This window comes from Homo sapiens, chromosome 6 (assembly GCF_000001405.40).
Source record: "Homo sapiens chromosome 6, GRCh38.p14 Primary Assembly".
NCBI lineage: Eukaryota > Metazoa > Chordata > Mammalia > Primates > Hominidae > Homo > Homo sapiens.
Window position 1 is genome coordinate 90,230,103 of NC_000006.12, and position 22,972 is coordinate 90,253,074.

Sequence of the window (22,972 nt, forward strand, 5' to 3'; positions counted from 1 at the left end):
ATGAGTGAGGAGAACCACAGGCAGAGAGGTTTTGAGAAAGGATGCTGAGGCCATACTACGTGGGTTCAAATCCCTGCTCCACTAGTTACTAGCTATGGCTCAGTTTCCTTATTTGTAAAAACGGAGATAACTGATAACACCTCCTTTGTTGTGAGGCTTGACTGACTGAATCCATTTATTGATCTCAGTGGATTATTGTACGGATTTGGCATAACACCTGGTACATAGCAAATGTTCAATTTTAATCACATGCATCATACCTATACATGTGTACATGTGAATATGTCCTAAGGATTAAACAGTTTGATGCATATAAAGGGCTTAGCACTGTCTCCATATAGAAAATACTCAGTAAATATAAGCTGAGCTGATGCTGACAGTACTGGTCGTAGGACAACTTATTGCAACTGACTGTCTTCTGTCTGGAATTTCATCCTTTCCTCACTGCATGGCAGCCTTTGCTTCAGAAAACCACAACTTTAAAAGGTATGGGGATAAGAATAAATCATTTTTTCTCTTTCTTTTAATTATTAAGAGGTCCCACTAACAATGAACGGTACTTCTACTGCAAAGTTATGATGGGAATGTGGGCTTAATGGCAAAGAAAAGCGATGTGGAGACCTGGCTCTGCCCCCACATGATGATAAATAGCAGAACTTGACAGCCAGAGGAAACTCAGCCCCCTCATTTCCTAGGGGAACCCAGAGTTGAAATGTGTTTTGCTCAAGATCACAGTGTGAGTGGCAGAACTGGGATCAGACTTAGGAACAGAGCTCTTTAGTTTCCAGGTTGCTTCCATTGATCATCCCTGGTGAGAAGCATGCCTGAGAGGTGCATTATCATGTGGAAGATGCTGTCCTTGTGGTCAAGGCCAATGTGGGGGATGAGGAATGTGGTACCCTGTTTCCCAATTGCTTCCTTCCTCTCTCTGCCGAATTCCCTTCCCTGGTCCAAATTCCACACCCTGCAGGCCATTTCCAGCTGAAAGGGAGGACACAGAGCACTAGAAAGCAGCTGTGGTTTGTTTGTGGCCAAACTGTTTTCTTAGGGGTGTTCAGTTCCAATTTTATAACAGAAGACAATTATGAAAAGGGTTTAATTTCCCAAATTTTCATTACATACAACTGTTTAGAGATAGGCATATATAAATGGATATGTGCATACTTTTTATCTATCAAGGACAGGAAATCCTGTCTTTCAGTTGCTAAGTCTCAGACTATTCCATCTGAGTATTTTTGCTGACAAATGTGACCTTGTCTAGGTTCTGCGGGAATTTAAAAATTCCCTCAATGTCATTTCTACTTGACCTTAGCAACATGACCAAACTGCAAATTCAAATGCCATTGAGTAAAGGTACAACATTCACATCCTGTTACCAAAGCGTTCTCCAACTCCAATCCAGTGACCCTGGGCCAGAGCCTAATCCAAAAGATTACAAAGCAACTTTCTGATGAGTTGTCATGGCAACCCCTAGATGTTAGATATTTCATGTCATCCCTGGGCTGCAAATTCTCATTTTTAGTCTACTCATATCCTACTATTTCATGTATAACAACCAACCAAAATGCAATTTGAAATGTCAGCTGCCAAACATAATAAGAGATGCCACTTGCTATTATAGCCAATAATAAAAGATTTCTAGTTGCTTGTTTCAGAGATACAGCAAATCACTGTGTATTCTAAGTCCACTGGGCTGGTCCTCAAAGTGAGGCTATTTAGCTAGACTTCCTTAGTTTTTATTTAATTAGTCAATATTTAAGAGAGCCTTGGAGATAAAAAGAATTCTAGTGAAACCTAGGCATTATTATTTTCCAAACAGGAGGAAATGTACTGATCTTCAGACTTTCAATAGACATGATATATTTGGTCTGAGAGAGAGAGACAGAGAGAGAGAGAGAGAGAGAGAGAGAGAAGCCCAACCGTTATCTAAACCTTTTAAGGACACAATTATACAAGAGTGCCTTGCAAGGTTTTCAACTCTTTATAACTGGAAGAGAGGAAAACACTTATTACTGAAATCCAGATAATCAAAACACTTTGTTTTAATCAGCAGTTTCTACCCTTTTCACATTCTATATCAATTCACAAGGAGTGACCTTCATCTTAGGTATAATGGGGTCAAAACCTACCTCTGCAGGTGTTTCTCCCTTACCTGCCTTAATCTGTGGCCCAGGTTAAGCACACCTGCAGGCAGGCTCAACCCAAGATAGCCAGGAGTTCTATTATGAGTAGACTGATGTAGAAAGATCTCTCTTGAAATTCCCTTTAGCTGACAAAGCATTGAAATCACCTCTGCAAATAGCTGGAATTGTGTATTTATTTTTCTTTTCTCTGTTTAAAATTTAGCAGAAATGTTAATAAGAAAAGAAATGTCCAGTAGATGAACAACAGGCCCAGAAGGAAAGAGAAATGAAGACCAAGATAATACACAAACCAGATTATCAATCTTGAAATAATCCAGAAGTAGACATATGATAGATCATACTATGTGAGTTTTTCTAATCCTAAACACAAAGGGAATATAAAGAGGTGTGCAGTAGGGCTGCATGTCAACCACTTTAAACTAATGCTAGCCAATACCTGTGTAGAGCTGCAAACTATTTTTCTGCTAGAATTTTAAGAGAACTTTTAAGTTTTGAAAATTGATTCCCATGACACTTCTCTTTCCGTCTTCATAATAGCTGCCAAAAAGTTCAAAACCACATTTATGGCCTGTCTCTAAGAAGTCCTTAAATGGTCTTTCTTGACATCTTTTATTAATTCCTAGCCTCATTTTCTCACTTTTTTGTTGTCTGCTTTAGTGGGGAGTATCTCTGAGGCCAAATTAAAACTTTTTACAATAATACAGGTGTATTATTCAACAGATAGCCTTCATTAAGCCTCAAATATTTATGGGGGCTTCTCTTCCAGACCATCCCTCTTTGATCCATGAGGCAGGAGATATCATGTTTCAACAAGAATTTGTTTCAGTTCACAGAGAAGCTGAAGCAACATCAATTTCTCATACTTGTTTCAATCACATTTGGAATTGATAAGCTAAAATAGAGAAGAGTGCTATGCTAGGAAGCTGGGATCATGAGGAGGTGAGAAGCCACCTTTTTTTTATTTGGGAGCTTGCACTCATGACTTTGGCCAGACCCCAGAAGACACATAAGTTCCCTGTGGTAAAGTATTTATTGGACTATCACCCAATCCTTTCTTCTACATGAGAATATCACTTTGGCAGATGTACACCAAAGCCTTCTCTGGGTATAAGTCTTCAGCCTGCCTTGGATGGATCTTGTCTGCTTCCGTCTGCCTGTGCACACAGGCTGCCAGCCCCACTCCACCCTCCAGTAAAACCTACTTGACTATGTATAGTGCTGGCTTAGAATGACACAGATTTAGGTTCAAGTTTTGCATCCTTTAATGGCTATATGACCCTGGACAAGGTATCAAACTCTATGAGTCTCAGGTACCTCGCCTGACAATTGGGAATAATAAAGAGTCCCTTTTGGGGTTTATGTGAGGATTACATTAATGCTCATAGGGTCCTCGACAAAATGCCTGGCACACCAAAGTCAATGCTCAATAAATATCAGCGATTGGTATTACAATTATGTTATTATAATTCTTTGAGGAACTGCTGGTGGCCAGTGTAAATCCTATGGTCTTTATCTCTCCTGACCCCATCCACAGGCTCATGTGACAATTTTCCCAGGATCATTTCAATTTTCTGCGATCAGAGAGAATGCCAGCCACGGCCCTATGGACCAGGGACAAGATAGCACACCTGAGCAGAAAGAAAGAGGACCACTAGCCTTGGGATAGAATTATCCCTCACTTCACCCTCACTGTCGGCATGTTCAGAGACTAAGTGCTTATAGAACCAGACTCAGGGTTTTCCTGTTAGTCTGAAGAGTGCTTCATCTCTTCTAGGCTTTCACTGGCAGAGCCACAGGATGAGAACACTCTCGGCCCCTTATCACCACCCACATCAGCAACACTGAGGCCAGCATCAGGGTCTTCTGGGCTGTGCGGATTGGGGAGCCGATGATGTAGTTAAGTTTCCTGGAAATACAGGCAGCAATTTCCTGTGGCTTCCTCTGTTTTTGATGTAGAGATGAGCACAGGTAAAAACTAAACACATCAAGGATCAGCGCTTCAGTCGGTGGTGCAAGTGCGGAAAAATACTGTCATTTCCTCACAAACAGATTCAGAAGTGCAAAGTATAAGCCACTTTCCAGAGAGCATGCTCCCCAGCAAGGACCTGTACAGTAGGGCTGTGAGTTGACAGTGAATAGATGGGCATTCCCATGAACTTACTTGCTTACCCAAGTGATCAAGAACCAGAATTTCCATGAAGGTCAATGTTTTGTATAAACCTTAGCCTGAAAAAGCTCTGGTCTGCTCACAGAGCTTCAGTCAAGCCTTCTCCAGAATTTGCAGCCAGGTCAGAAAAAAAGGTCACTTTCAGAAGTGGAAAGCAGTACAAATTTTAGTTAAAATTTTAGATGAACTAAACTGTTTATACAACTATCCTAAAAGATAGTTTAGAATTAAATAAAACAATGTGCACTACATTTGGGAAACAGCCAGGTTCAAAGAAGGTGGTCACAGTGTATTCTTAGAACCAGAATGGAATAAAGAAAATGATACATGTTATGGTTATGATAGCATAACCTGCTGATGAAAGAACAGCAGCAGCAGGATGTACAGTTTGCAAAGGGTCCACTCAAATCAGAGTGAACCCAGATGGTGCTAGAGGCAGCCTAGGGCCAAATCCCACCTTTGGCACTCACTAGCTGGGTGACCTTGGGCAAGTCATTTAAACTTCCATTTCTTCATGTGATTTTGTTTCTCCATCATTGGCTCCCCTTCCTTTGTGAAAAGTTGCCCCTCCCCATACCAACTGGGGCACCCATCATCATAGTCAGCAACCTGACCTAAAGATAGCTCAGGTATAAGACATGGTAAAATCTTTTTTGCTTTAGTCCGTTGCTTGTAACCAAAAAACCAAGACCTTTTTTCGGCTGCAAGCAAAAGAGATTTAACACCTAATTTGCAGAAGTTGCTAGGAGCATTAAACGAAGTCACACAAAGCAAACACAAGAAATGCTGGTTGCATTCATAGAAAGGAAGATTAGTGTGTGGTTAAAAGCAAAGGTATTGAGTCCATCTGCATGGGTTCAAATTCCAGCACCCCTTAGAACAGAGATAAATCACTTAACATCTTTGCTCTCGGTTTCCCAGTCTGTAAAAACAGAGCTAATAATAGTAATTACATCACAGGGTTGTGAAGATTATGTCAAAGTAGATAAAGCATTTAGAACAGTGCCCAACACAGTAAACATTCAAGAATTAGCCATTATTATTACAAAGGTAGAACTGTTTTGATTACTGTTAAGGATGTTGTAAAAGTCAGTGATCTATAGAGAAATGCCCTTCAACTAAAAAAGCCAGGGATTGTGGCACAAGCCTGTAGTTCCCAGCTACCTGGGAGGTGGAGGCAAAGAGGATCCTTTCAGCCAAGGAGTTTGAGCCTGGGCGATATAGTGAGACCCTGTCTCTAAAAAATTTTTTTAAATTTAAAAACATTTTTAAATAGGAAAAGAAAATAATCCTTCTTCTGGGTAATCCAGCTTGATGGACAATCCCTTAGAGACAATTAGAAAGGATGCATTTACTCAGAATTTAGTAAGTTCTAATATTGGGCCTCCTGAATGAACTTACTGACCAGCAGGATGTGGCCTGAGCAAATGACCCATGTCAGTTGTGCTGCCTGGCCTTCCTCTTTTCATTGTCAAGAATACATGAGCATATCAATTATGAATTAATCTCTCATAAATTTAACTATAAGTCAATTCTTGCAAGTCACATCTCTCAAAAAGAACTAATAAAACTGATTTTGGTCCTGTGGCTATTCACCAGGGCTATGCCCTTATGGGGGCCACCCAGCAACCAACCAGCCTCACTCTTGCTGAAATCTGTTAATTGCAGCTCAAGCCTGTTTTACTAACTAAATGCAGTGTCTCCTTCACCACTGCTTCCTGTGTGATATCACTAACTCATTCCTTCATTCATTTATTCAATCATATAAGAAACATTTATTGAGCACCACCTAGGTGCCAGGTGCTGGGCTCAGTATTTGTTAAGCAAAAGCAAGCAATAAACAGTGCTCAAAATGCTTTTTAGAGTTTAGTGAGGAAGGCACGTCAACTAACGATTAGAAACAGTATGCTAGGCCAGAGACAAACCTGAGCCATGAGGGACCTCAGGCCTGCATGGTGGGACCCAGAAAGAGTTCACACAATTAGCACAAAGCACTTGGGAAGCGAACAGTTTACCCAGGGCACAGAAAGAGTAGACTGGAAAGATACATAGGTCTGAGACATTCTGGGATTTAGACACCTTGCAAAGGAAGAGAAGTCTTCGGAAGATTTTAAGCAAAGTCATGCCATGATGTTTAGTTTTGCCTTTAGAAAGAACATTTGGTTGGCAGTATGGAAGATGAACCAAGGGGCTGGCCATATGTGCAAAGCAGGAGGCAGGTAAAGAGTTTCCTGTGTTTGTCCAGAAGAGAAATGGTAAAGCCTGAACACAGGGCAATAGATGAGGGAGCAAAAAAGAGAGTCTCTGGGATTTCAGGATATGAAACCACCTGATTCCATGAAGCTATCTTACTTTAGCTCACTGTATAGAAAACTGTGCCTGTCACTGTTCAGCTACTTCTTGAAAGAACTGAGACTACAAATTAAAATTGAAAACTACATGCACTTATACTATGTCCATGATTCCACTGTGAAATTGTACAAACCCATTCTCCAGGACTCAGGAAGGCCAATGTTCTTATTTTTTTTTTGAGAGAGTCTCTCTCTGTCGCCCAGGCTGGAGTGCAGTGGCGCAATCTCAGCTCACTGCAACCTCCACCTCCCAGGTTCAAGCGATTCTCCTGCCTCAGCCTCCCAAGTAGCTGGGACTACAGGCGCCTGCCACCACGCCCGGCTAATTTTTCGTATTTTTAGTAGAGATGGGGTTTCACTGTGTTAGCCAGGATGGTCTCGATCTCCTGACCTCACGATCCATCCACCTCGGCCTCCCAAAGTGCTGGGATTACAGGCGTGAGCCACTGCGCCCAGCCCAGTGCTCTTGTTTTAGAAATCTGGGAGAGCTTGAAAGTACAGAGGAAGGGCCCTTAAGTTAAATAGTCATCCCTCCTCAACAAACAATTAAATGTTATTATGACCAACCATATCTAACAGGTTCAGAGACATCCTAGCCTGTCTGTCAACTTTGTAGGCTAAATGAAAGTTCCAGGTTGTCAGACCCAGTGTAGTTTTATTTCCTCAGTATCTATTTCCTGCCACTTTACTTTACAAAATGTTTCCCTTTGAATGTAACCAGAGAATTCCATGAACCCTGCCATAATGTTAATACTCACGGTGAATGCACACTTATATCACTAGAATATCTGACCACATCTGTTTGTTTTGTGACATGACAGGCCTTGAGACTGGTGAAAAATTTACCAAACCAATAGTTTACTTTCTCTTAAATGTAAAATGCAATGGAATCTCTTCTGTACCTCTGGAAACACTGTAGTCAGCTTTTCTGAATGAACCTGCTGGGAAATGTCAAGATCTCTAAATAAATAAGTTGTGACTTTCATTGTATTTGCAGCACACAACCTCTGACAAGGAAGAAAGGCCACAAGGGGATGTTGATCAAATCCAGGTCAGAACTCCATCAAGGTGGACAGACACTCAACGCCCTGGTAGATAACAAAGACAACGGTGGACGAGCAATAAAGAAATCTAACAAGGTCTCAAAGGAACAGCAAATGAATTTCAATTTTAAAAGGACATGGGTCATTCTAGAAATCAATGTGTGTGCAATCCAACAGTTCCATATATAAATACCAGAAAATATTTATGAAGCAAGATTAATCTCGTTTTAGAAATTATTACTAACCTGGCTTTATTACTGGTTTAAACTAAATTTATAAAACAATAGGCTTGTCCCTTAGCCAAATACATTCATGTCTAAGAATGAAGTCATACTCTATACGAAGCTAAAGAGAATTTTATAATAGTCTCATAACCCCATTAGGGGGAAAAATGTATCTGTTCTCTCTTATCGATCGATCGATCATCTATCTATGTTGGGAAAGCAAATTTAATGAACTCCCTGAAACTCTTAGAGAAAAATTATGGGAAGACACACACTGGCTAGACATATTTCGATAGTGGTTACCATAGAAACAAGTCATTAGATTTCATTTTTGGAGTTGTGGCTTTTGATAAAATATTAAATTTCTTAGAGTATTTGCATATACAGATAGCGCAACTGCTGATGTGCAATTGAATTATATGCTGTAAAAAATATTTACACTACTTCTACTTTTAGATTACTAATATCTACAAAGAAAAAAACTCACTCCTAATAAGAATGAATTTAAAAACTCTTCCTCTACCTTGCCATTGTTTCCTACTGGGAAAAAGCTAAAGTGAGGGTGGTGAAGGCATAAAACAGGCTGGGACACAAGACAGGGATCTAAGGAAACCAGCTTGGTCTTGCTTGAGAGAAACTCCTGATGGCTTTCCAACCACAGCTGCTAATATTCTGCAGGCCACCTAACTGAACAGCAACTCTGGTAATTTGTTTTTAATCAGACTAATTCTTCAATCTCATTTTCCTGTGACAAGATGGCTGTTTCTCACGGTGTAAGAAATGATGATGTGCTTCCTTCTTGGGGGAGTGAGTTGTGATACTGCCTTGTGTGGAGCTCATCTAGTGTCTCCTTTCATTTATATTTCATAACCTCCCTGCTGTGAGCCCAAGAACCTGAAGAGCACACCTCACTTCCTATTTTGAAAATTAAGAAAAAGTATACATTTTAACACAGAGTCAAAATTGCAAAGTTAAACGACCACTAACTCAAATACTGATTTTAAGGCAGGAGCAGCAGCAGGTTAGCTGCTGCACTGAATTTTACTGACTGAAAGCCACTAGGGTGTTTGCCAATCAATGCTAAAATGATACTTGAATTAAAATCAATACACAACCCCATATGTATGTGGTGTGCCAGGAACAGCCTAAGAGTTGCTCGACCTAGGATCTAAGATGTCCACGAGCCACAAACCTGGTAATCTTTGAAATTAGGGTTGGCGGATTTAGTTTTCTGTCAGCTGGGAATGTCCTGGCATTAAACCAAGGACCTCAATCCCCTTAAAACAATGAATTCAGCAACAATCTTGACTTCCCAGACATAAGAAGTAAATCACATTAACAGCTGAGAAGAGGCTATGAACTTTCTGTTTGAAGGTCAACTAGAAAACAAGCGAAAGATCAGCTGAAAATGTCATGGGTGAACCTGAGCCAGGTGCTGGCTCTAAAATTACAGCAAGGTCCCCATGAAACATTAAAAGAACATAGCCACCCTGTAAGGTGTTATAGGAGGATTCTCTTTTCACTTTAAAAATTATTTATGTATGCATGTACATGCTTTAATAATCTCTGGCAATATGCACATATTTATGTATATAGCCATACATGACTAAGATATAAATCTCGTCTATATGACTAAGAGATGGACCTTATCTTTATATGACTAAGAGATTATGTTATCTCTGAAGGGATCAAAGGTCACGTTTGTTTTTCTGTTTTCCCCAAGCTCAGCACTGACATGCATGATCTCCATAGTAAGGGGGGGGGAATACACACACACACACACACACACACACACACACACACACACACACACGCTGACTATTCACATACAGAAATATATATTTGCTATTAAAAAAATTAAAACCACATACAAGAATTAGCCAAACAGTAGGAAAAACGAACACATGAATCAACCCCAGAACCACCACTATTTTAGACTTGCCAAGTAAAATAAAGATCTAAAAATTCATCTTATAGAAAAAGAAATCTGAGAACTACTTCTATATTGTTACAGAAAATACAAAAACAGATATATTTTATTATTTGAATTAAGCATTAAAAAAATTCATCTTACAAGTAACAGGTATATCCTAATCTTTAAAAGTTCTATTTGTACTAGTCATCTACTAGGTCAAAAAAAGTTTAATACAAAACATTTGGAAGTAAATGAAAAAATACTGCATTTTTCCAATACTATCTTTTTTAATGAAATATCAAAAAGTTTAACACATGTTAATCCTTTTGAAAACCTATTTTGCCTCCTAAGAAATGCAAAATAACTTATAAAGTAATTCTAACATCAGTGAAGAATGCTACTATGTTTCAAGTAAACTGTCTCAAAAATTTTAACTTAAATATGAATTTTAATATAATTTATGTGAAAATGAAAAATACTTGAAAATACTTTGCTTTGGTCTAGGATTAAATTCATGATGTATTTCATTAAATATCCTGCTATTGTCTGCTTTACGATATTAAGAAAACAAGCATAACGAAAAATAATGGTTATCTCCTCAGCCCCACTATAATGGGAATTCTTCCTCATAAGAACTACAAAGCAAATAAGAGGAGATGTACTTCAAAATCTTAAATATTCATCACAAAATAAGAAGGCAAATGGACTTTAAAAATGATGACCCACGTAAAATCAACATTTAATCCTCAACATGTAGACTGTCTGCTTTGTGGCTTTCTTAGAGTGAACCTTAGCTTTACCCTCCTAGGGACCAAATTCCTATCTCTTGCATTACAAACATCTGCAGGCCACAAGACAGCAACCAAAGGTTAATACTGCCTCCAGCCAAACATTATTAAGAAGCTAAATCTGCTAACTTCCATTAAATATAATACTAAATATAATATTATTTCCAAAGCCAACAGATATTACTTTTGAACCCTATCACTTGTCAATATGAGGCTAGAAATTAAGAGTTGACTAAAAGTATAGAAAAAATTAGCCAGGCGTGGTGGCGTGCGCCTGTAGTCTCCAGCTACTTGGGAGGCTGAGGCAGGAGAATCGCTTGAACTTGGGAGGCAGAGGTTGCAGTGAGCCGAGATCGCCCCACTGCACTCCAGCCTGGGTGACAGAGCGAGACTCCAACTCAAAAAAAAAAAAAAAAGAGTTGACTAAAATTATAGTTATATGGTTTCCAGATAATATATAATAATATATATGTATAATAATAATGTGATAATGTATCACTTAATAGATTGAAAATGATGAGATGATACTTCTCAATGGCAGACACTAGCCTGTAGGGTGGTGGTATTCACCACAGCTAAAATCAACCGCTCACTTAAATAGCACCTGGACTGGGACCAAATCCTCCAAATGGCTCCCCCTCCCACCTACTCAACAGGGGGCAGGCTGGGACAGAGAGTCACGTGTGTTCACATTAGCCTGATAGAGGATCAGAATGGAGTCAGACTGCAAGGGTAGGAATTTCCTCTCTTCCAGTGCTCTCATTTCCTCATCTACAAAATGGGAACTGCTGTAAGGATTAAAAAATACATAGAAATAAAACATTTAGCACAATGGCCACAAGCCCACATTTTCACCCTGTCTGTTGTCAAAAGCAAGGTAGGAGACAACTAATGCTAGGGTAGGTGGAAAAGAGGGACAGGGTGTGGCTAGGGAGAGGGACACCTGCCAGTCACATGGTGGGCATCTCTGCTCACAATCTGAAATGTATGCCACAGGAAGTTGCCAAACTGCTTATTTTTTTAACTGCCCGTTACTAAAGGTTGATGAGATAACACATAAGATAAATGAAAAAAAAATTAAAAAACAACTAGAGAAATAAGGTGGGGAATATTATATGAAAGACATTATACAAGGCTTTTGTTTTGTTTTGTCTTGGAGTATTGTTTTTTTATTTCTAAGCTACAATCTATCCTGATTTTCTTTTTTTTTTTTTATTAGTAGACTATTTTTTAGAGCAGTTTTAGGTTTATAGAAAAACTAAGCCAAAAGTTCCCTCTTCCCCGTTTCCCCTGTTATTAACCATCTTGCACAAGTATGGTACATCTGTTATAATTAATGAGCCAATGATGATATAGGATTAACTAGTCATAACAGTCAATATAGTTTACATAAGAGTTCACTCTTTATGTTACACAGTTGTATGGGTTTTGACACACCTATCTATCCACCATTACAATATCATACAGAATAGTGTCACAGCCCTTAAAATCCACTGTGCTCCACCTGTTCATCCTGTCCCCTCTTCCCTGAACTAGCAACCACTGATCTTTTTACTGTCTCTATGGTTTTGACTTTTGCCTTTTCTATAGTTTAAATCGTACAGTATGTAGCCTTTCCAGACTGGCTTCTTTCACTTAGCAATATGCATTTAAGGTTCCTTTGTGTCTTTCTGTGGCTTCATTGCTCATTTCTTTTTAGTGCTGAATAATATTCCATTATCTGGATGTACCACAGTTTATCAATTCATCTAATGAAGGATCCCTTAGTTGCTTCCAGTTTTTGACAGTTATAAATAAAGCTGCTATCAAGATTCGCATGCAGGTTGTTCTGCAGACATAAATTTTCAACTCATTTGGGTAAACATCTAGATGCGTAGTTGCTGAATTGTACGTTAAGCCTATCTTGAGCTTTATAAGAAGCTGCCAAACTTTCAAAGCAGTTGTACCAATCTATCATTTTCAATATCTAAAAATCCATCTACCAAAGTGTAACTTAATATCTACACAATGTGACCAGTGCATTATTTATGATCTACCTAAGTGAAGGACAGTTAACTTTCAGGTTCTAACTAAACTTGAAAGATAATGTGATCAAAAAATTCAGGAGTTGTTGACTTTGGGCTGTTGACTTTGGGCAAATTATCTGATTTCTTTTTTTTTTTGAGGCGGAGTTTAGCTCTTGTTGCCCAGACTGGAGTGCAATGGCGTGATCTTGGCTCACTGCAACCTCCGCCTCCCGAGTTCAAGCGATTCTCCTGTCTCAGCCTCCCGAGTCGCTTGGATTACAGGGATACACCACCATGCCCGGCTAATTTTTTTTTTTTTTTTTTTTTTTTTTTAGTAGAGACAAGGTTTCTCCATGTTGGTCAGGCTGGTCTTGAACTCCCAACTTCAGGTGCTCCGCCCGCCTCAGCCTCCCAAAATGCTGGGATTACAGGCGTGAGCCAATGTGCCCGGCCCAAATTATCTGATTTCCACAGCCTCAAAAAAATGTATTAATAACTAGTCGCAAGGATCGTCTTTAAAAATCCTTTACAGTCATTAAAGGTTATGCAATTCTTAAGAAGGTGACTATGATCTTTGTGATGCCAATAACTCCATTTTACTTTTAAGCAAATTTGTTTTAGTATCATTTTCAATGAAACCTCAACAAACTGTAGTTCAGACTTTGGAGAAAATGCTTAATAATCATGACAGTGAAGACCACTTGGGACTGTTAGGCTGGTTTTTGTTGCTGTTGCTGTTTTTGTTATTGTTTTGCCTTTAGATCACAAAAGTTTTGTCCTGGTGGCAGAAGGAAACATCAGTTTTCCATTGGAACATTCTCTGACTAGCATTATGGTCTTTACATAACGTTCATTCCTTATTTCCACACCCTCCCTAATATTACAGAGTAATTACTGAATCTCTTTTTCCTATGAATTTTAAAGTTTGACACCACTGGCCAAAAATTCTATGAATTTGGCAAAAATGATGATGGATCCAAAAAAGCTAGCATCCTTTTCTCAGCATTTAAATAGTTTTTTTCCTCATGAACAGGTCTACTACCTGAACAGTTCCCCATCTCACCCCACCATCCCTGTGGGAAGAAAACCATTAGAAGGCATCTACCTTTATGTAGTAAAATTTCATTGATTGGAATAGCTCAATTGAGGAGCAATAAACCTCAGTCATAGGACATTCATTTTTTATTTTTTATTTTTGGGAGACAGAGTCTCGCTCTGTTGCCCAGGCTGGAGTGCAGTGGCATGATCTCAGCTCACTGCAACCTCCATCTCCTGGGTTCAAATGATTCTCATGCCTCAGCCTCCTGAGTAGCTGGGATAACAGGCATGTGCCACCACACCCGGCTAATTTTTGCAATTTTAGTAGGGACAGGGTTTCACCATGTTGGCCAGGCTGATCTTGAACTCCTGACCTCAAGCAATCCGCCTGCCTGGGCCTCCCAAAGTGCTGGGATTACAGGCATGAGCCACTGCACCCGGTTATTTATAGGACATTTAAAAAGAAATACTGTCTTCCCAATTTCATGTAATACAGTAATAGCTAACATTTACTAAATACTTACTATGTACCAGATGGTATTCAAGGGCTTCGCATACATGTTTTCAATTAGCCATCAAAATAACCCCTTGAGGTAATTACTATTACTGCTTCCATTTTACAGATTCAAACACTGAAGCTCAGTGAAGTCAAGCAGAAACTCTGCTGTGATCTCTCCAGAATCTGGTCTAGAATCCTTGGATAATGGCTGGGCCCAACATTCTCATGGACAGACACTGCTGCCTACTTGGATGGATTAGTATCAGCTGCTTCTGGGGTCTCCATTTGGGTATATTGCTCACCTGACAGCAACCACCCCCTCCCCCCTTCACACGCGCACACATGCGCACACACGCACACAAATACTCGTGTACATGTGCTCTGTGCTGTGCCTCACACTTGCTGCCTGTGCTATGGGGACCACTGGCTGGTATCATATCTGACACATCCCATGTTTACCTACTGCACTTGACTCCTCCCTAAAAGCTGCTTCTATTGCCCCCTCTGAGCCATCATCACCCTCATGGGCCTTTCTAGCTCCAAGTGATCTTCCTTAAGCTGCTGAAATTAACCAAACAAGAACCGTGAAGGATTAACAATACCTAATATAAATTATGCTTTAAAAATAGGCTTTAGCCAGGTGTGGTGGCTCACGCCTGTAATCCCAGCACTTTGGGAGGCCAAGGTGGGCAGATCACCTGAGGTCAGGAGTTCGAGACCAGCTTGGCCAACATGGTGAAACCCTGTCTCTACTAAAAACACACAAAAAATTAGCCGGGTGTGGTGGCAGGTGCCTGTAATCCCAGCTACTTGGGAGGCTGAAGTGGGAGAATATCGCTTGAACCTGGGAGGCAGAGGTTACAGTCAGCTGAGATCATGCCACTGCAATCCTGCCTGGGTGACAGAGTGAGATTCTGTCTTAAAAAAAAAAAAAGGCTTTAGTACTTTTTAAGTAAACTGATGAAAATTATTTAAGCATTGCAAACTCTTCCTTAAAATACAATTCATTTTTAAAAGTAAGTGGACATTTCAACCAGGCTCAGTGGCTCACACTTGTAATCACAGTACTTTTGGAGGCCAAGGCAGGAGGATCACTTGAGGCCAGGAGTTCAAGACCAGTCAGGGCAACATAGAGAGACTCTGTTTCTAACAAGAAAATTTAAAAAAATTATCCAGGTGTTGTGGTGCGTGCCTGTAGTCCCAGCTACTCCAGAGGCTGAGGTAGCCAGTGAACTGTGACGGTGGCACTGCACTCCGGCCTGGTTGACAGAACGAGATCCCATCTCTGAAGAATTTTTTAAATTTAAAAACAAAAGAGTAAGCAGACATTTCTAAACTGGCTAAAAGCAATTTCTTAAGTAGGTAAACATAGCCTTTATATGTTCATTTACATCATTCAGTAGTTTAGTTAGCTCTGTTCCTGCTAAGATGAACTTCAAGAACTAGCTATGAGGTGATCAGAAATAATCTGAATTTGAAACAAGAGAAGTCTGAATTTGAAACAAGAGAAGTCTGAATTTAAAGATTTTTCATATTTGGATTAAAATATTTGTAACAGGGTGGAAACAGAAAAAATTGGACAAAAATCTATGAAAACTTGCTCTCCAGGAATTTTCTCCAAAGGTCTCCTGGCCCAGACCCTCATTCCATGACAGGAGGCTGGCAGTGCCAGAGGAATGCAGCACAAAGGGGTGGAAAGGATGTCAGCAAGAGAAGCTATCAAGGGAGGAGGAGTGGGACGTGGCAGAAGTTAAGTTGGACTGATAACGTGGCAAGCTGGGTCTGAGTGACTACTGCTGGAACACAATGAACAGTGGGTCCTTCACTCAACCCAGATTGGTGAGAGCCAGGAGCCACTAAGTCAAAATTAACCTAAATGCACATAAACTCTAGGATTCCAATTTTATTCTGTTTTTCTGTGCCTCTACTACACTCCCTTGACCTTTAAATAATCTTCACAAAACAGTTATAAAGCAGAGTTGATTACTGTACTTTTATAAGTATAATGTGTAAAATGGAGACATCAACTTCTGAAAGTTATAAAACATCAATTTTAAATACAATTTTTCCACTTTTATTCTTACTGTTGTCTACTGAAAACAATATTCTCCAACTAATCAGAAAACCTCAGGCTCATCCTTCAATTTCTGCTCAAAACTCTTTAAGATAGGTTTCAACAGATTTCCATACAAAAGAAAAATGCGTTACATTCCTCCCTATTGATGTCTAATGTAGTACAGTGTATTAAGATACATACATTCACCCGAAACAAAATAACATGTTCTCTTAGTACAAACTGGCAAAAAAAAATCATTTACCTTGTTTATTGTTTGTAGAATTACCCCCAATTCAAGAAAAATGAGTACATATAAAAATTAGGATTTATAAAATATGAATTAGATAATATAAATGAATTTATTTTAAGGTGATTTGAAGCAAAAGGTCACCAAGTATATTACAATACAATCTGATTTACAAAATCATATTTCAAAACAAATTTTCTAGGAACACAGATACTCCATAAAGCAGGGTACCTTGGCTAAAACACCAATGTCTCACTTACATAGAATTTGATAAGGAAAATGAAACTTTACACTAAAATTGTTAGGTAGAGCATGTGGAAGTATTCAAAAGAAACCTGACGTTAAAGTCCTATGAAAATTTTCTTAAAATATGCATGAAAAACATACTTGTAAATTTACGATACTTGTTACGAATCAAGTTTTTGATATTACAAATGTGAAAAAAAAACCTTCAAATGTCAGGTTACCGTTTTTACTGTTTAATGAAAAAGACAAAGCTAAAGACCACATATAAATTATTGACCTGCATACTAACTACCACTATAACGAGAACATGACTGCAGTTTACAAGGATGAAGCTCTTTATATTCTCATTTGGAGAGGACTGTTGTAGTACATTTGACATGTAATATATTTAAACAAGTATCAATTTCTTTCTTCTTCTTCTTTTTTTTTTTTTTGTAGAGATGGTGTCTTACCCAGGCTGGAGTGCAGTGGTCATCATAGCTCATTGCAATCTCTAACTCCTGGGCTCAAGTGATCCTCCTGTTTCAACCTCCTTAGTAGCTGGGACTACAGGCATGCACCACCATGTACAGTTATTTTTTTTTTTGAGATGGGGTCTTGCTATGTTGCCCAGGCTGGTCTTGAACTCCTGGCCTCAAGCAATCCTCCCACCTCAATCTCCCAAAGTGCTGGAATTGCAGGTGTGAGCCACTGTACCAAGTCACAAGTATCATTTTCCTAAGGGCTACCAAACAGCAATATTAGTACCATTACTGCCTTATTTAAGGTAATTAAAATCAACTTTTTCTAAACTTAGAGGAATTCTTCACTCCCCTAAAGTATAGCCTCTACCTACTTTTTTAGTCTAATTTCTTCTTATTCACCATCATCCACCCTATGCTTCAGTTAAAAAGGGTTAATAGCTATCCCTGGAATGTCTTCCCATCTCCATGCCTTTACCCAAGTGGTTCCCATGCCTAGAATTTCCTCCCTCATAGCTTCAGCTGTCAAAGTTGAACCCATTCTTCAAGTAGCACTTCGGTCTCTGCTTTATCCAGGATGCTCTCTGATGTCCCTAATCAGACAGCATTTCTTAATCTTCATCCCTACAGCATTCTGTATCTTTCTTGGAGATTAATTTTACTCTCTTATATGTTATACTCATCACATTCAAGTGTCTTCTAGCTTAGAGTATATCATAGGTGCTCAACAAATGTTTGTTACATGAATGAATACATATGCTCCTTGAGAGAAAGGCACTAATTTTATTCCTCATTGTGTCTCTTTGCTATCTCCCCAAGGTGAGACCTCTGCAAAGCCAGGCAACAACCCGTCCACATGTACTCAGCACCTAGAACAGCACATCATAGTGCACTGTCAACAATCTACAGATGTTTGTGAAATCAACCAATTAACTAATCTGCTGTCGTTTTTTCAGTACTTAACACTCCTGACAGAATTGCACATTCTTAGAATTGGATATTTATATTTTTCATTTAATAAAAAATATTTTTAAATTATTATTCAATAACTCTTCCTTGAGTGTGTCCTGCTTGCTAGGAAGTGGATATTACATACAGCAGACAAAATAGCCGTGATCCCTAATGGGCTCATAGACTAATGGGAGAGAAAACTATTAAAGAAACAAATGTATGGCCAAATATGAAATTAAAATTCTAATAAGGGCTGGGAAAGAAAGGAGAAAGCAAAGTATGGACAACTGGGTGGTGCTCATTAAGGGTGGAGATCAGGGAAGGCTTCTCAGAGGATGTGATGTTAAAATGCAAGTGAAGGATGAACGAGAGTTAGAAAAATGAAAAGTGGGAGGTGGGGTGGGCATTTCAGGGAGAAAAGCAGCCTCAGGAAGAGCCTGGTGCACCTGGTCACAGTGGTGGTATGGGGTCAATGAAGGGAAAATGGCTGCATGAGGCCAGAGAGCCTGGCTGGGGCCAGGTCAGCAGACTCCCACCAACTCCGGGGAGGAGGCTGGATTCTTAGTGCAACAGGAAGCCATGGCAGGGCAGATGAAGAATAAATGAACTGGCTGCTTCACTACTACCCTGTCCCAAGGGCCCAGACCATGAAACGGTCTTTTATTTGGTTTCAAATCCAAATAAAAACCTATGTAGGTATAGAATCAAAAGAAGGAGTTAAAAATTTGGGAAGGTTTTATACATTTTCCTGTTAACAGAAAATTTAAATATAAAAATATTTTATTATCTCAGAGAGGCAACAGAGATTTATGCTCTTTGATTCAGAGATAAACTTTGTCTTGTAGAATGGGAAAAAATGACTAGGTAAGATGATTTTCCTTTATCACTTTTCAGAAGACAAGTCATAATGGAAATGACTCAAGATACCACAATTTGGAAGATGAGTGACTGTCTTTGCCATGGGAGCAGAGTGAGGGTTTGCTAAACATCAGCTGAAAGGAGAGATGTGCTCTTGCTCTTAGTTACAGACAGGCACTGTATGTGATGTGGCCCCATAAAAATCCTGGCAGATGATGTAGCTTCCTGTCATCTTCCTCCCATAACTGCAAAGTCCAGGAGACAGAGTCCCCTTTCCTTGGTAGAAGGAAGTAAACTTTGGCATAAGACACATTTTGTGCCAACTACCTAACAGCAATGTTTAAATAAAAATAAAATGCTATTGGAGCATTTCAATACATATCATAAAAACAGGCCAGGCGCAGTGGCTCATGCCTGTAATGCCAGCACTTTGGGAGGCCAAAGTGGGCAAATCACTCGAGTCCAGGAGTTCGAGACCAGCCTGAGCAACATGGTGAGACTCCCATCTCTACTACAAACACAAAAATTAGCAGGGTGTGGTGGTGCGTGCCTATAGTCTCAACTACTCGAGAGGCTGACGTGGGGGAATCACCTGAGCCCAGGGAGCTGCTGAGGCTGCCACGAACCATGATTGCGCTACTGCACTCTAGCCTGGTTGACAGAGTGAGACCCTGAAAAACAAAATGAAACAAAACCTAAGATTGAACAACAAAAAGCAACACTAAGCATTTTATCCAGAAGCAAGAAAACCCTACCAAGAATTTGTATTTGTTCATCAGAATAGATAACCCAAATGAATACTCCACAGAACAAGACTGCCGTTTATTTAATAGGTGGTAGGTTTTTAAATGGGAGATAGGTTATTTCTTCCTTTCTCCCCACCCACAGAGTTTTGGCCACTTCCAGACCATGTTCAGCTGACATTCTTTTCAAAGACTCAAAAAAAGGTAATGCACTCTCAGTGGAAAGGTAGTGTTCCACCAGTTTTGGTAAATACTGATCTAGGCCTGAACTTTTGATTTCTGAATGAAAGAACAAGATGATTCATATATGCCTTAAGGAAAAAGTAAGTCTGGTGACCAGATCTGAATGAAAGCAAAAAGGCTTGAATTTAAAAAGCGAATCCTGTTTAAATTTTGGGCAAATCATCTAACATATCCTCTTTCCTTTTGCAATCTACACTAAGAATACTATTTTTTTTTCCAGTTTAAGAAAAGTTGACCTACCAAAGCCAGAACTGCTAAATAATTACAAAACAGTTGTTTTAGAAATCACTTCACCCTCCGAAAGGAGTCAACTTTCCATGTATACTTAAAATCACTCATAAAAATGGATTTACCATTTAAGAAATAATTTTCAAACACACATGTAGTTTGTCAAATGAAGCCTCACTGTTCATTCATTCATTCATTCATTCATTCGACAGATATTGATTGAGCCCTGTTATGGGCCAGATGCTGATTGTGGCACTTGTGATACAGCAGTGAACAGAAGAGTCTAAACTCCCTGCCCCAATGGTGCTTGCATTCCTGTGTTACGTCCACACAGCTGTGTAACTGACTCTGAAGAAAAATGAGCTTTTAAAACATAATAAACATTTCAGTTTTGCCAGATGAAAAATTCTAAAGATTTGTTACACTACAATGTAAATATAGCTAATATTACTGAGTTATATACTCAAAAATGGTTAAGAGAATAAATGTGTTCATTTAACCAAAAATTTTTTTAAATGAAAAAAATAAGCATAACAAACATTTACTGAGTACTTACCATGTTAGGCAGAGCATCATCTCATTTAATCACAACAACCTTAGCAGGAAGGCACTATTATTATTCTGTTTTACAGATGGGTACACTGAGGCACAAAGAGGTTAAACAATTTATCCAGGATCACATATCCAAGGGATAGAGCTGAGATATAGGCCCAAGTAATCTGATACCAGCAACTTGTCTCCTAACTCCATACAAAAAGTTTCAAAGATAATACTATTTTCAGTTGGAACTACAGTTAATAATACAAAAATAGTAATAATAATATAGTACAAGGAATAATAATCAACTTTTTTTTTTTAATCCTGATGATTTGTAACCCAACTTACTGTCCTTTTGATGGCCATTTTTTCCTAAAAACCTCAGTGTTGAACAAACTGCTTTCAACCACTTCTCTGTAAGCCATAATATTCTTTTCCTTCAAATGGAAATAAAGAAAAATCACACAGGATGGTTTCTTTTAGACAAGATCAGGCACGTTCAGGGTGGTGTGGCCATAGACGCGGATGGTTTCTTTTAAAACAGACATTACTGAAACTGTAAATATTTTTAGCCTTTTGTACTTTTCATCCAGCAGCTTAACTGAGAATGATATAGAAACATTTAAAAATAGCCACTCAGTACTCTGAAAACCATTAGTTTAGCACATACCCAGCACCTGCTTGACACATCTTAATCAACACTCTTTTGCTAGTCATATTAAAAAAAGAGAGAACCCTTTTGCTTTCAGAATTTTTTCCCTTAAAAAACGTATGTGTCACCAGGGTATTTTGCCCTCTCTCTTTCTAACTTAGAGGGTAACACCTGGAGTAAGTCATGGGTGACTAATGAAGATGCAACTTTCCCCTCAGCATGATATACTTCACAGGATGGAAGTAAAAGCTTCTAATAGGAGCATTTATTACAATTGTTAGGATTGTAATGGAAAGTTAATTTTGTTTTATAGTTTGTAGAAATGATTCAGGATGATATGAGAACACTTTCTATAAACCTGCACTGATAAAAGGAAGATGATAGTGATGACACATGATATACTTTCTGAGTTGTTTTTCCAGGGGTGGGAAAGTTCAATCCACAGATTTCAAGACAGAAAGAAGAAAGGAAAGGAGAAGGAAGGAAGAAAGAAAACAAAATTTTTTTTAGAATTGACTATGCTCAAATACACTGTGCTTTTTAGCATCAAACTTTCAACCATGGTCTGAGCAGCACTATGTTGTAACAAAACTGGAGTAGCCAGCCTGAGCAAACATGAACATCACAATATTTTAAAGTTCAAATAACATAAGGCACCAGTTTTAAGACTGCCCGGGTATCCTTTTTAGCAATACAAAGATTCACACAACTTGGTGACAGACAGCTTTTCCCTCCAGCCAAATCTGATGAAGACTTGATAATATCACCTGCCATAATCAAAATTCCTGGGCACATGGGAAGGTCTCTGACTCAAATCAAAGAGAGCTTTGGGCCCCAAAGCTATGGGCCCCACAGCTATGGGCTACCAAAGAAAGGTTATAACCAGGCTCCAGTGTAAACCATTTTGTTTCTTTTAACAGTTTTAGATCTTCTAAAGTATATGAGATGATATTAATAAAATTTAAATTTCCTGCTAAATTTTTTTAGTCTCTTTCCTTAAAAGTAAAACTTACAATGATCAGAAAGCATGCTTTCTTCTGGCTTTATCATTCAACTTCCCAGGCAAAGATGATCAACAGCAACACTCTTATCTAAAGCAAAAGTAATGGATATGATTATCACTCTGGACAGAAAGTCTGTATTTGCCCATTTTTATCAATGATTGAGACAATGATCCAGAAGCTGTATTGGTACAAAAACACAACACCAGGGATGCCAGAAACAGGATTACAAAAGTTCTCACAAGGTTAAAAATAGACCAAAATGAATATAGTCAAGTTTACTAGGCTCAAATGTGAGGTCCTGTATGGTCAGTACATGGAGGTCCAGCAGCCTCTTGATTCAATACAGGCAGTGTGATGGGTTTGCAAAAATGTACTCTTAGGCTGCATTAATAAAGACACTGTTCTCAAGGCCAGATAAGCCACAGTCCCTCTCAAACTGCTCAGAAAGAGTAGCTTTAGGGCCAGGTGCAGTGGCTCACGCCTATAATCCCAGCACTTTGGGAGGCCAAAGCAGGCGGACCACTTGAGGTAAGGAGTTCAAGACCAGCTTGGGTAACATGGCAAAACTCGT

General features: G+C 39.1%; 1 protein-coding gene across 2 annotated transcripts in view, besides 3 other annotated features; it reads right to left on the reverse strand.

Moving 5' to 3' along the window:
• Window positions 1-22,972, reverse strand: part of BACH2 (BACH transcriptional regulator 2) — a 370,316-nt gene that overhangs the window by 303,575 nt on the left and 43,769 nt on the right. The window contains exon 3 of one of the 2 annotated variants that reach the window (NM_021813.4): window positions 22,411-22,488. The exons of the other annotated variant lie outside the window; for it this stretch is intronic. The gene's annotated coding sequence lies outside the window, so the exon portion shown is untranslated. The remainder of the gene's footprint in view (window positions 1-22,410; window positions 22,489-22,972) is intronic. 2 annotated transcript variants of the gene reach the window in all.
• Window positions 1,396-1,540: an enhancer, noted in NCBI's record as "145 bp 6:90941289 sequence used in MPRA reporter constructs". NCBI's record gives its function as "activates a minimal TATA-containing promoter with rs2021716 allelic activity by MPRAs in C283T melanocytes {active_cell/tissue: C283T}" and the evidence as "EXISTENCE:reporter gene assay evidence [ECO:0000049][PMID:36423637]".
• Window position 1,468: a transcriptional cis regulatory region, noted in NCBI's record as "rs2021716 or 6:90941289 MPRA-significant variant associated with a GWAS melanoma risk locus at 6q15". NCBI's record gives its function as "allelic transcriptional activity by MPRAs in C283T melanocytes {active_cell/tissue: C283T}" and the evidence as "EXISTENCE:reporter gene assay evidence [ECO:0000049][PMID:36423637]".
• Window positions 21,493-21,582: an enhancer, noted in NCBI's record as "active region_24833". NCBI's record gives its function as "activates an Ori minimal core promoter by ATAC-STARR-seq in GM12878 lymphoblastoid cells {active_cell/tissue: GM12878}" and the evidence as "EXISTENCE:reporter gene assay evidence [ECO:0000049][PMID:35858748]".